The 14,368-nt window shown below is 40.9% G+C and overlaps 2 protein-coding genes across 8 annotated transcripts in view; one reads left to right on the top strand and one right to left on the bottom strand.

The window, feature by feature from the left end:
- The window catches only part of TXLNG (taxilin gamma), a 58,054-nt gene extending 54,962 nt beyond the window's left edge, over positions 1-3,092 (top strand). For all 4 annotated transcript variants that reach the window (NM_018360.3, NM_001168683.2, XM_024452400.2 and 1 more), the window contains one exon: positions 1-3,092. In NM_018360.3, the coding sequence (NP_060830.2) occupies positions 1-339 (339 nt within the window). In that variant the 3' untranslated portion in view covers positions 340-3,092.
- Positions 2,914-14,368, bottom strand: part of RBBP7 (RB binding protein 7, chromatin remodeling factor) — a 26,022-nt gene continuing 14,567 nt past the window's right edge. For 2 of the 4 annotated variants that reach the window (NM_002893.4, NM_001198719.2), the window contains exons 6-12: positions 12,255-12,415; positions 11,322-11,448; positions 11,124-11,201; positions 10,619-10,695; positions 7,817-7,874; positions 4,401-4,511; positions 2,914-3,676 (exon numbers count right to left, since the gene is read on the bottom strand). In NM_002893.4, the coding sequence (NP_002884.1) occupies positions 3,608-3,676; positions 4,401-4,511; positions 7,817-7,874; positions 10,619-10,695; positions 11,124-11,201; positions 11,322-11,448; positions 12,255-12,415 (681 nt within the window). In that variant the 3' untranslated portion in view covers positions 2,914-3,607. Of the gene's footprint in view, positions 3,677-4,400; positions 4,512-7,816; positions 7,875-10,618; positions 10,696-10,988; positions 11,202-11,321; positions 11,449-12,254; positions 12,416-14,368 lie in introns of all 4 variants that reach the window. The other 2 variants (XM_047442292.1, XM_047442291.1) reach the window with 1 other exon arrangement.

Genomic DNA, 14,368 nt, shown 5'->3' on the forward strand with positions numbered 1-14,368 from the left:
AAAACAGTCCGTGATAAAGAGTACAAGGCCCTTCAAATAAAACTGGAACGGTTAGAGAAGCTGTGCAGGGCTCTTCAGACAGAAAGGAATGAGCTCAATGAGAAGGTGGAAGTCCTGAAAGAGCAGGTATCCATCAAAGCGGCCATCAAAGCGGCGAACAGGGATTTAGCAACACCTGTGATGCAGCCCTGTACTGCCCTGGATTCTCACAAGGAGCTGAACACTTCCTCGAAAAGAGCCCTGGGAGCGCACCTGGAGGCTGAGCCCAAGAGTCAGAGAAGCGCTGTGCAAAAGCCCCCGTCCACAGGCTCTGCTCCGGCCATCGAGTCGGTTGACTAAGATGAGGTGTGATCACTGTATTGAGAGATATATTTTGTGTATAACTTTCTCTGTTAGTAGTTAACTATTGGTTTTGTGGTGAAAATTTTCTTACTTTTTCTACCATATCTGTATTTTCTTAGAACTACTGGACTTATGTGGTACAGGAGGCTGCTTAGCAGTTTTGAATAGTTTAATCTATAAATTTTCCTCAGCTGTGTTGCACATCAGCCTCGTTCTCCCTCCACTGGAATGCATGTGTTCATTGCCTTGTCCTTTCTCTCCCTGCTCCTTGCACATTATCATCCTAATGAAAATTTCACTGACAGGGCCGACCATTACAAGGGAACTTTGTTCTGACGATGGTTCCTTGATGTGAAAACAATATTAATTTAAACGTCTTAGCCCCCCCCCCCATAATATTATTCAGAAAAACAAAATACCAAGGCGATTAGTTTTGTCTAATAACCCATTTAAATGCCAAGTAAAAATAAAACTCCTAGTGTTGGGTCAGAAGCATATTTGATTGAAATTAGCTTTTTGAAAACATTTATATCTCGGGACAAATTGAGATGGCCACATGCCTAGAATCCTAAGTTTCGGCAGAATATGTATATAAAGATGTCACTTGTGGACAAAATAGTACATAGAGGCAAATCACTAGACAAATAAGCTTAGTGTTTACGTGACTGAACAGTCATCCTGCTTTGGTTTCAGGTGTGGGATTTGGACCATGAGGGGCTCCCGTAGAGGATGGCGGTTTGTGTTTGATTCTGATTTGGGATTTCAGTACATATTCTCCACTTCCCATAGAAGGCCACTTATTCTTTGAAAACTGGTGTTCATGTTTGCCGTTCAATGAAGTCCCTTGTCAAAGACAAGGACGGTCAATTCACGTGTCACTTTCACTAGGCAGAAGTTTCTCCAATACCTTCTGGCTACTTGAAAGTTACTACAAAAATTCCACCAGCAAAGTACTCCAGGTTTTTCAAAAGGGAATTTTCATTATGGATCAGTACCAACCGAAATTGATTTTCATTTCCAAAACAAACACTGGCACCAACATTTTTACTTTGGGAAGACTTGGCAGAGTGTTAGTCATGATCTGTTACTTACGTGTTCAGTCTGTTTTCTCACCCCCTTCTTAGTTACCATCTCTTTTTTAAGAAGAAAAAAGAAAAGCCACAGTATTATCAAGGTCTCTACACTTGGACTGGGGGAAAATTTGAAATTAAGCACATAACTTTTGAATTAGTTCTTTGTTTCAATGTTGAATGTGGCGCAGTTATGCAGATGATTAATCAGGCTGCACTGATGGAAGTTTTGACTTTGTCCCTGGTATAATTTGCATTGAAATGCTTTATGAAATAAAAGGTTCTACTAGAACTGATGTTAGCACATTCCACTGAGCAAAACTATCAGACTGACACTTGTTAAATTGCTTACTGGACTGAATAAACTCTGTTTTGTCCAGTTAAAAGGGTTTTCTCTTTGTTACAAGTGTTATTTGTAAAGTCCTGTCACATTCATGGTCGAAACTGGGTTGAAAGAATTGAAAATTGTCCAACAGATAGATAGATAGGAAACCGCCTGGAGTGGAGGAGGGTTGTATCTAAGCCTCCACTATCAGTCATGTTAATTCAAGGGGCCACAGTGGAGGAAAATAAATCCACAAAGTAGATTATCTAATTACCATCAAAATGAGTCAGAAGCAAAAAACACCACCCTCCAACAGCCTCTTAGGAGTACACCCTGTTCTGCTACTAAAATACTAGACTCATTTCCCTGGTGGTGGGGGGGAATGCAGGTATAGATCAGAAATATAATCCACCTTAAAATTAGTACTAATGATCACATTATTTCACAAGAACTCTGCTGGATGTACAGCTCTTAACATTTTATTAAGCCATTTGTGTAGCCCACCACGTTTCTTTGTGGTGCTTGTCCTGTGTGGAAGATTGTAAATCTTGGGCCTGTTGCATACTTCCAAGGGCTTTAAAGCAATGTGATTAACAGTACTTGGCCTGCTGCTTTTGGCTTACTTTGTATTTTTAGCTAGATGCTATTATAGTGTTGAAAGGATATGGATTCTGTCTGGGATGCATTTGTTGTCCTTTCAGAACCCTTCCTCCCATTACCCTGTGAATAAAAACAAATGGGACCCCCTGAGAAGGACATCTTCCTACAGTGATCACCTCACCAGCCCAGTGTTGTGGCTTTGTAGCGCACCCCGTATCTACCATATTCTAGAACACTGTAATGCTACTAGGCTGGCCCAGAAAAGGTTTAAATGTTGAATTCACTTAAATTGCAATTGTTGCACCATCATGGAATCGTGATGTGTATTATTTATATTGGCGGTGGACTCCAAGGTGTAGAGAAAACTTGGGTCTTGGGTAATATGGACCATTTCATCCTCAGACTTGTTAGGAGTACATTTCTTGGTCTTGAGACCAGTATTTTTCAGTTATGTATGCAACTGCCTTTATTACACCTGGTTATCACAATTCAATTCTCAGGTGTTGCAGAAAAATCTACCTCTTTCAGACTGTAGATGGAAATAACTGTGAAAAAAATGATGCAGATATCTTCTAGTTTGTGCTAAACACACTGCTTTATTTTTACAGCCCACGTCTTTCATGAGGATACGAATTGTTAAGAGGCAGTCTCGTTTTGCTTTTCAAAGACATTTTGTAGAGATTTTTCACTAATGTGAATCTGATTTTATCTACTTGATTCTGTATAGATTAAGTAAATATGTATGATAAACTTAACAGCTTCTGTGTATTCTTTCATTATCCATGTGACCTTAACTGTAGGAGTCCAAAGGTACCATTTTACCCATTTCTACTCAAAAAGTAGACTCCCCCGCCCCCCCCCACTAAGCTTTTAAAAAAACACAAGTTTTATTTTAAAACTTTATTTCTGCAAAGCCAATCAAGAAGTGTTGGAAGGAAAAAGTGTAAAAGTTATTCTTGCATATTTGGGAACAGCAAGCACTTAGTTTGAGAAAATGAGGACTTAAAACAGTTGAATCAAAGGCAATACCCTGCTACTTGTATTTAAAATCAATGGTGATGTTCTTTCTTAAGCAACATTCTTCTCTTCCCTAATAGCTACAATATGATACAGTACGCAACAGCTCACTTGAAAGTGCTAGAATCAGAGGATAAAGAAGCCATAAGCCACCCCACTTACATTTCCTACTATACAATGCCTTTTTGGCGCTTGATAAATCAAGCATTCATGTAGCATTACATTCAACAGAAACATTTCTCGTACTTTGGGTTTAAGATCCTTGTCCCTCCAGTTCGGATGTCGTGACATCTGACTCTTCATCATTGTAAATATTTTCAGCCTGGAGATAACCAAATAAATTCACAGGTAAAAACTCCCTATGGTTTTCACATGGTCATGTAAAAACAATTTAATCTATTTAGAACTTAATAGTTTCATTTTTACATTTCTCTCTTAAAAACTTCAATAAGGAAATGGTAGGCTAGCCAGTATTTTGAAAAATTCTTTGCCAGTGTGTAATTCCGTATGTATACTTAGCCACCCATCGATGCACTACTTATTTCAATCACTGTTCATAAGAGATGTTTTCCAAAGGCACTTCAAGCATCGTTTAGAGGAAGTGGTAGCCCAGATGTTATGGAAGTCTCGGTTAACAACAACTTAGAAATGTCAGCTACTTAGTGCTCATCCTCAGAGAACTTGCTGTCATTTGAATGCCTTGACCTCTCCTTCCTGTATCCCTCATGCCTACCACACAGAACAGACACTGGAGACAGAGTAGCGACGCCAAGACTCCAGTGTATGAAGAGCACAACAACAATGAAAATCAGTGCAGATGCAGAGATTTCTCCTGACCTGACAGGTGCTACAAATAGCAAACAGTGGACGAAGCACCATATGGGACTAAAGATTGTATTGTTGAAATGGAAAAAGTTCTTTTAAACGGTTTCTGTAAATGTTTGGCATAATATGCACCTACATATTCGAAATAACTTTATTACATTATGTAAGTAGTAAATCTCTCCTTTACAAGACAGTCATTCAAGAAAAACATTTTAACTCACCATTTGCCATATCTGCATGATGTTATCCTCAGACACTGAGCAAATGACCCAAGGCTCATTGGGGTTCCAGCTAAAATCTGAAATCTTAGCAGTGTGTCCTCCATGAATAAACTGTTACAAGAACAAAAAAAGCTTTGATTTCATATACTCTCCTGTTAATCCTAACAAAGGTTTTACTAAGTTTTTAGAGCTATCAGTATTTCAACTGGGGGTGGGTGCTGTCTGGTTTTAGAAGGTGGTACAGGCTCAGTAATCTATTTATACTTATTTTGCAAATTTCCAAACCTCCAGAATAGGTGACAGAATATAGTACAATGGATACCTGTATACCCTTTACCTAGATTCACCAAGTGATACTAGCATAACTGATGCTTTATCCATGAGCCTATACAATGAAATGGCTGAAGACTTCAGCCTGCATCCCTTAAGAATGAGGACATTTTCCTAGTCAAAATGCCATTTCCATACTGATTATGATGAACATTAATCCAGCATCATTTGCTCATATACAGTTAGGTGCAAACATCTAAGGTAATCAATCCGTTATATGCCATGTAACATACTCTTCTATTATACAAGGGGCCTGAGGAGTCTTCTGGTTCTTCCCCTCTCCACTTTACTGAGAGAGGCATACTTCTTGCCCATCTTTCCAACGTACACAGACAGCACCAGGGTGAAAGAAAATCCCTGGCTCCAAAAGCATAGCTCCAGATAGTCCCTCATAAGCTATGCCTAAGGTGAGAGCTTTGCTAAACAATTCTGAAGAGAGCAGTTGTTCCCCGCAAGAGACAACCTCGTCGGAATGCACTATGCCTTATTTTTTTATCTTAGAATTAAGATTTAAACGAAACACTTCTTCACAAGGACAGTACTAAATACACTGTTTGGAACTGGGACATCACACTTTCTGACAAAGTCTGATTTGACTCTAGTTTGACAATGAGGTCTCTGCCTGCCAACTAGGTATTATGCAATGTATCTATTTTACCGAATAATCTTATCGGGTTAAAAATATGAGGTGGGGCTGGGTAAAACTCACGCCTGTAATCCCAGCACTTTGGGAGGCCAAAGCAGGCGGATGGCTCGAGCTCAGGAGTTCAAGACCAGCCTGGGCAACATGACAAAACCCCGTCTCTACAAAAAATACGAAAATTAGCCGGGCGTGGTGGGGTGTGCCCATAGTCCCAGCTACTCAGGAGGCTGAGATGGGAAGACAGCTTGAACCTGGGAGGTGGAGGTTGCAGTGAACTAAGACTGCGCCACTGCACTCCAGCCTGGGTGACAGAACCAGACCTTGACTTAAAAAAAAAAGAGGTAAATAGCTTTTTAAAGTACTCTTAAGGGGTACACAAGTGAATATACTGGCCGGGTGTGGTGGCTCACGCCTGTAATCCCACCACTTTGGGAGGCTGAGGCGGGCGGATCACGAGGTCAAGAGATCAAGACCATCCTGGCCAACATGGTGAAACCCTGTCTCTACTAAAAATACAAAAATTAGCTGGACATGGTGTTGCGCACCTGTAGTCCCAGCTACTCGGGAGGCTGAGGCAGGAGAATCACTTGAACCCGGGAGGCAGAGGTTGCAGTGAGCTGAGATTGCACCACTGCACTCCAGCCTGGGCGACAGAGAGAGTACTCTTAAGGGGTACACAGGTGAATATATTTTAAGATCACTGGGGCTTAGAAAACATACAGGAGTTATCAAAGCATACTGGTGGAATAGTTTACTACTTTGTTTTTGGGACAGGGTCTCACTCCCATTGCCCAGGCTGGAGTGCAGTGGTGTGATCATGGCTCACTGCAGCCTCAACTTCCCGGGCTCAGGTGATTCTCCTACCTCAGTCTCCCAAGTAGCTGGGACTACAGGCACGCGCCACCACACCTGGCTAATTTATGTATTTTTTTTTTTTTTTGGTAGAGACAGGACAGGGTTTTGCCATGTTTCCCAGCCTGGTCTTGAACTTGTGGGCTCACGTGATCCACCTGCCTTGGCCTCCCAAAGTGCTGGGATTCCAGGCAGGAGCCACCATGCCCAGGCCCAGTTTACTACTCTCAAATGTCCCTTGATTTCAAGCTCTCTTGTAAAAAGCAAAATCCTAGTGTATTTTCTCAAGGACCTTGGAATTGTTGCAGAGGCATAATATACAAAGTAATACGCTTTCCTTTCTCCCTAAAAAAAATAGCTGGAGACCTTGAAAACATTGTACTATGTGAAAGAATCAGTCCCAAAAGACAAAAGTCATATTTATATGAAATATCTAGAATAGCCCAATCTTATAGTGCCAGAAAGTAGCACAGTAGTTGCCAAGGGCTGGAGGAAGAAGAGAATTGGGAGGTGATAGCTATAGTTTCTTTTGGAGGGGATGAATAATGTTCTAGAATTGATTTGTGGTGATAGTTTTACAAGTCTATGAATATACTAAAAACCACTGACTTCAAGAACAAAAAAAGAAAAAAAACCCCCAAAACCCAAGAACACTCCCTCCCCACTGAACTGTACACTTTAAAGAAGTGAACTGTGTGGTATGTAAATTATATCTCAGTAAAGCCGTCATCAAAATAAAAGGGTCTGGAGCATTCTTACAAGGTGGGCTTAGTGAACATCTTCTGTGTGCAGGGCTTGCTCTCAAGGACCTTCTTTACCTTTGAAAACTTGTGGACATTCAATATACTCCATAGGTTCACAGAAAAAATGAATAAATAAAACTCATGGACAAAGTACAAGTGTGCCAAAAATGAGTACTGGCATTAGAACTAAAATCGTAAATGACAGAGTGATGAGTGACTATCGGCCAAATAATGGGAGGAGACAAATGTTGGATTCAGAGCAAGGACAGGGAACCATTGCTAAATCCGGCAATGCTTCATAGAAAAATGACGAAGTGAGCACTGAAGGACTCAGACGGGAAGAATGAGGATGGGCAGATACCACCACATAAGCTTTCAAAGGGCCAAGGAGATGCGTGATGCTTCAATCAGGCATGGGAGGGAGATAGTGGGCTCTGCTAACATCAAGATTGAGAAAGCACTCCTTTTCTGGGCAGGAAACTTAAAAAGCATTTAAAATTTTTTCTATACTGTTAGGAAATGTTAAGTACTGCCAACTGAATAGCAATTATACTCACTCCCCATCCCCAAACCATCACAAATACCAGAGTTGAAATCAGTGAGAAATTACTATATACTATTTTCCAGGACCTCAAACCATTCTCAGTGAAACATTCATAAAAACCTACTGGGCTCCATTTACTATTTTTGATAAATGTCAAAGCCCAGTTGCAATAACCTTCAGGGCCTCCATTTTGAAACCATCTGCAAGAGCTAGAATTCGAAGTTCTGACCCATTCTCGAAATAAAGAGATCAATGACAATCCAATCTGCATATGACATTTCATCTTCTATAAGCCAATGCGTACCAGGAGTTCTGGAGGCCCATCTTCTGCATCTTCTGCTGATTGTTCTTCCCCAATTTTACTGTAAGAATAAAGAATATAACGCTTTCATCAGTGAAATTCTTGTAGCACGAACATCTGCTAAACCAGTATCAGCCCAGAAAGTAATCTTAAAACATAAACACACTCACAAAAACAACTTATTTCTATACTACAATCAATTAGGTTTTTTTTTTCCTTAGAGACATGGCCTCGCTATGTTTCCCAGGCTGCAGTCAGTAGCTATTCATTCACAGGCACGATCACTGTGCACTACAGCCTTGAACTCCTGGGCTCAAAAGCGATCCTCTCGCCTCAGCCTCACCACATCTGGCTACTGTTTATATTTGGTGTAAGGACGGGATGTTTACTTTCTGGAAATAAGTTAGAGTTGTTCATAATTGAAGTTGCAGAATGAGGAATTATTGTCAATAATAAACATTAACTCAAAATCCCTTCATTAACTGTTTATTGCCTTAGAATTAAAAGGTGAAATGTATAGTTAAAAAAATCTACACATAAACTGATGTGCAATCCCTATACTTCACTCAAAGCCTGTTGCATCCCAGGAGTAAAATATAATTACAAATCAGTACTATAGATCTGTCTAAAGATATGGCAATAAAACTTTGAGAAATGTGTAAGCCAAGGAAATGTTTTTATGGTTTTTCTCTTAAAAACTTCAATTTGTAGAATTTGCCAGTGCTCAACAGTGAAATCACTCTTTATGTATCAATATCAGCCCTGTCCTTATACCTAGCCCAAAGACTTTAGTAGTAACAACTACTAAAAAACAAAACCCAGCCCTCCAAGTGAGACATTTTTTTCCTTCCCACAAAACTAACCAAACAATCTCAAACCTGTGGGATTGCTAGACAATACTTATCTTCCACCTGTCAGTATAGTTGCTAAAACTCACCATTTTAATCCCAAATTTTATCTAATGTAATTTTACAATTTTTTGTAGAGACAGGGTCTATGTTGCCCAGGTTGGTCTCGAACTCCTGGGTTCAAGCGATCCTCCTGCTTCAGCCTCACAAAGTACTGGGATTATAGACATGAGCCGCCATGCCTGGCCCCCTATCTAATGTAATTTTAATATTAAACAAGCTAAGAAATAATTCTAAGAAGAAATTACACACAATGCTCACAAATTATTGGCACCTTCAGGGGCAATTCAGTTGCCAGGGCATCAGACTTCCAAACCTTGCTGTACGCTTCATACAACCTCTTTATAGTTTTGATTTAGGTTTTATTTTACTACTAAAATTGTTTTTAAATCAAATACAATGCCCCCAACTGTCTGCTTTAAAGGTTTTCTACATCTTCAAGTATTTATCACGGCAAGAGTTTGCTCCATCAGAACCCTGAACATTAGCTATTTTAAGTTTTACATACAAGCATTTTATTCTCCAGCGTCTCTTCTATATACTGAGGATTACTGCCTCTATAATTAAGGCAGCCTTGGTTTTAATATATAGGTTGAGCATCCCAAATCCAAAATGTTCCAAAATCCAAAACTTTAAGCACCACGTGACACTCAGAATTTGGACTTTCACACCGAGTGCAATGGCTCATGCCTGTAATCCCAGCACTTTGGGAGGCCAAGGCGGGAGAATCACGTGGGGTCAGGAGTCTGAGACCAGCCTGGCCAATATGGCAAAGCTCTGCCTTTATTTATTTATTTTTTTAGTAAAAAATACAAAACCGGGCATGGTGGCTGTGGCAGTGCTTGTAGACCTGTAGACCCACCTCCTCGGGAAGCTGAGGCATGAGAACTGCTTGAACCTGGGAGGCAGAGGTTACAGTGAGCCAAGATTGCGCCACTGCACTCCAGCCTGCGTGACAGAGCAAGATTCAGTCTCCAAAAAAAAAAAAAGAAAAGAAAAGAAAAGAAAAAGAAGAAGAATTTGGACTTTCAGTTCAGATTTGAGATGCTCAACCAATAAAGTATAATGCAAATATTCCAAAATCCTAAAAATTCCAAAACCCCAAACACTTCTTATTCCAAGTATTTTGGATAAGGGATATTCAACCTGTACTAAATTCAGTCCACTTCAAAGCAATATATTTAATACAAGCAGGAAATAAGTTATTTTTTGGTAATTTTATGATTTAAACTTAAGATGACATCTTACGGAGGAGTATGTAACTGAGCAACTTTATTAAGTTCTAAAGGCTCAGATGAACAAGTAAAGGAGTCTAAAATTCTTAGAACAGCAAGTCTGAACTAAAGGAACTTTAAAAATTGGCAGAAACTCTTTATACAATGAGGCCCCAGAGAACATAAGCTCTCTGACAGCTTGGGCTGTCCTTGTCCCCTTCACAAAGGTCTCCCCAGCAGTTACACAACCCACAGCAGGAGTGCACATCTGCAGAATGAATCACTGAAAGCAAAGTAAATGGTACAAAAACCCAGAAAAAACAGTCCTGCCTACACGTACTGAGATCCAATGAGACATAAAACAGCTAACATCTTGATTTCTCTATATCAAGTGTGTTTTAAATACAGTCATTTGAATGCAAAAACAAAAACAGACACATACACCTTCATGCCTGAATATTAAGAGACAAAACTCACACTAGAGAAATTTATTTTATGGTCCATTTGCTGCTTCACTTCTATTTTACAGAACAAAGGCTCTTTAGGAAGATGCTTAGAAGTTTCTTTAATATTAGGTTTCTTGAAGGGGGGATTACCAAATTGCTTTTCTAGTTTATGAATGACTATGTAACTTGCCAGATAGGCACATTTATGCAGTATCTTGTCACAGGACTGTAAGTTACCTTAAATCCCACACATTCAGGCGGCGGTCAGTACCACTTGAAGCCAGAATAGTTTCATTATGTGGAGACCAGTGGACCTAGTAATAGATAATTTTGAAAATGTATTTAAAGAATCATCCGCTGCTAGGTTTGTGGCTGTTGTTCTAATCTGATATTTTCCCATCTTGCACTCTATTATCTTATCCTTGGCCTGATGGCCTCACTCTCTTGTCCCCGACTTTCAAGTGCTCTGCAAGGGCTCAGCTCCATCCTGTCCTCAGGAAGGCTGCACTCCCCAGCACTGAGGAACTCAGCCTGGGATCTCAATAAATTTATTCGACCCCATAACCATCCCAGAAGCTTTTTAATTCTTCAACAAGGTGTACCTTACCCTATGAGCATCTCCATGTAACACCACGTACAAGACATTTTTTTCAATAGTGGACCCACGAGTCTGGTATAGCTTAACTGATGAATCCCTGGATTTCATTTCCTGACATACAGACACCAGAAAACTGTCACATACCTGGAAAATTTCATCTTTATGAGATTCGAAGGTATGGAGTTTTAATTTTAAGTTACGCAGATCCCATAAAGCTACGGTCTAAAGAAAAATAACAAGTGAAAATGATTTCTATGCTTTACCTAAGAATTTTCAAATATCTGATTAAGGCACAAGAGAACTGGGTTTTATAAACACCAAATAATGCAAAAACTTCGAAACCTTATCCGCAGAGCCGGTGGCTAGAATAAATTCGCTGTAGGGATTGAATGAGAGGCAGTTGACTTCGGCAGTGTGCGCATCCACCAAGTGACTCGGCTTGGAGGTGGTATTGGACCTGGTGTCCCATCTAAAACACAAAGGTAAAGGCACACGGCACCCAGGGATGACACACTCACATTCGGCCTCACATCACTGTCACTGCACTCCACAACTAGCTCCACTATGTGCTCCCCTTCATGAAGAAACCAACCACACAGCTGGTGATTCAGACCTCGACCACTAAATGATACATTCGAAACCTACAGAGAACAAGCTAGGGCTGTTAGTCCTGTTTTTTAAATTAGATTCCTATTTTAATTACCAACTATTTCAAGTGTACACAAAATACAGACTATGTAGAGAATAATGTCACAATCTGATACCTAAAACTAGTTTTGACAAATGCCCAGTATTTTGTCACATTTGCCTCAGGTATTTCTTTATAAGATTATAAGTGAATGAAGCCCTGTGGCCACACCTTGATGAAATCATTTTCCTCCTCGACCTCCAACTGGCATCACTCTGGATCTCAATTTTGATATTTACCACCACACCAAGTATGTTCCTTCACATGTCCATACCTAGTTTTCTTTTTTTCTAAATAATAAGTGATCCTCCCACTTCAGCCTCCTGAGTAGCTAGGACTACAGGTGCACACCACCATACCCAACTAATTTTTTGTTTTTAAATTTTGTGTAGAGTCTCACACTCCTGGTCTCAAGCAATCCTCCTGCCTCAGCTTCCCAAGGTATTGAGATTACAGGAGTAAGCTACCTAAAGCTGTTTTTTAAAGCCATAACTTAAAAAAAAAAAATCAAACTACAGCCTGCAGCAATCACTGATGGTCATTCAGGTCACCCATTTAACAAGATCCCACTGAATTTTCCACCTTACATCATAAGTTTCTGATCATCAGCAACAGATCCAAACAATGACTCGTGCAGCAGGTGCCAGGCCACATCCTCTACAACAGCTGAGTGGCCAGTAAAGATGGCTTTAGCATCCACAATTTTGCCTTCTTTTGGTCCTGCGTTTATATCCCACAGACAAACAGTCTAAGAGAGAAGGAGAGAAAAAAAAAAGAACAAGGGCTATAAGAGACTGATTTTTTTTTTTTTCCCTCGAGACAGTGTCTCAGTCTGTCACCCAGGCTGGTGCGATCTCGGCTCACTGCAGCCTCCGCCTCCAGGGCTCAAGCGATTCTCCTGCCTCAGCCTCCTGAGCTGGGATTACAGGTGCAAGCCACCATGCCTGGCTCATTTTTTTTGTATTTTTAGTAGAGACGGGGGTCTCACCATATTGGCCAGGCTGGTCTTGAACTCCTGGCCTCAAGTGATCCGCCTGCCTTGGCCTCCCAAAGTGCTGGGACTACAGGTGTGAGCCACTGTGCCCGGTCAAGAGATTGAATTTAAATGCTAACATCTTATTTAAAATAATTTCATTACAAACAAAACTATTCAACTATATAAGTTTGAGGTAAACACAAGAGAGAAAATATAAGCAAACAGAAGAGTATGTGGCTGCAGCCTCCATGTGAGGTGCAGAGGAAAAGGACACTCCACTGTAATGAGGGGGAGGGGAGACTGAGTACAGTGGCAGGCAAGGACACTGATGCTGGAATTTCTACCTACATACATTCAGACATTCAAGTACCCCAAATTCACTTAGACAACACAACAAATCACCAAGAGCCCGGCGCTCAGCATCTACTGAACACAAATGCACATCCTAAAAGTTTACACTGGGATGGGAAGACTGGGAATTAAAATTAAACTCTGCCTCTCACATAGCAAAAGCCTCATGGACAAGTCTTTCACTTCATGGCAGAAACCACCACAGACATCAGGAGATGGGACAGGTAAACGACACTGGGCCAGAAACCTCTACTAGTCTACTCTGAGAGGTCAAGGCCTGGCGCCCACAGACAGATCCCCAATGATGTGCTCCTTGAAACGTCAGCAGAGCCCAAGCAGAGGCCATGGGGCCTCTGCTTGGGCCTCAAAGGTCACAGCAGCCCACAAATAAGGAGGCCTCATGATGTGGGCCTTGACATCCTATCACAGAAAGAGTTAAGAGGAAAGTTTTAATGAAAAAATATTGCAAGGTATAGGGCAACGATTCTCATTCAATAGTTAATAAGAAATAATACCATGAAGGTATATTAGCACTAATTATAGTTCCACCGACACTGGTATGGGTTTTTTTTTTTTTTTTAATTCATAGCACGTGATCATGAAAGGGCTTCATCTGTTTTTATTAAATCACCTTTTTTTTTTTTTTGAGACGGAGTCTCACTCTCTTGCCTAGGCTGGAATGCAAGGGCACAATTTTGGCGCACTACAACCTCCGCCTCCCGGGTTCAAGCAATTCTCCTCCCTCAGCCTCCCGAGTAGATGGGATTACAGGTGTATGCCACCAAGCCCAGCTAATTTTTTTGTATTTTTAGTAGAGACGGAGTTTCACCACGTTGGCCAGGCTGGTCTTGTACTCCTGACTTCAGGTGACCCACCCACCTTGGCCTCCCAAAGTGCTGGGATTCCAGGCGTGAGCCACTGTGCCCAGCCACATGAAGGACTTTCTGTAACAAAGCTATTTCCCAGTAATGGCTATTTTCCCAGTAACAAAATTTTTTTTTACACAATACATATGCCCTCAGTCTCTGTTGTTACTTACACATGAAGACACTCAATGTGTGTGAACTGAAGAGAAAGGAACATGTGGTGCTCCTGCCATTCACACTGACTCAGAAGGACCTGGCAAGATTAGCATGATGCTTGGCATGTGGGTAGCCCCTGGTAAATGTCAGCTATTATTATTACTACCAATTCCCAGCCTGGTCTCTTCAAAAGGTACTAGTAATTGGGTTACTGAGTACAATCCACTTATCCACTTTCCCTACTTGGGAAACCGTCTCATACACACTTTGAGGGAAGCATCCTTTCAGAGAGCCTATAATCCCAGCTCTTTGGGAGGCCAAGGAAGGTGGATCACTTGAGCCCGGGAGTTCA

The sequence above is a fragment of the Homo sapiens genome, chromosome X (assembly GCF_000001405.40).
Source record: "Homo sapiens chromosome X, GRCh38.p14 Primary Assembly".
NCBI classification, from domain to species: Eukaryota; Metazoa; Chordata; class Mammalia; order Primates; family Hominidae; genus Homo; species Homo sapiens.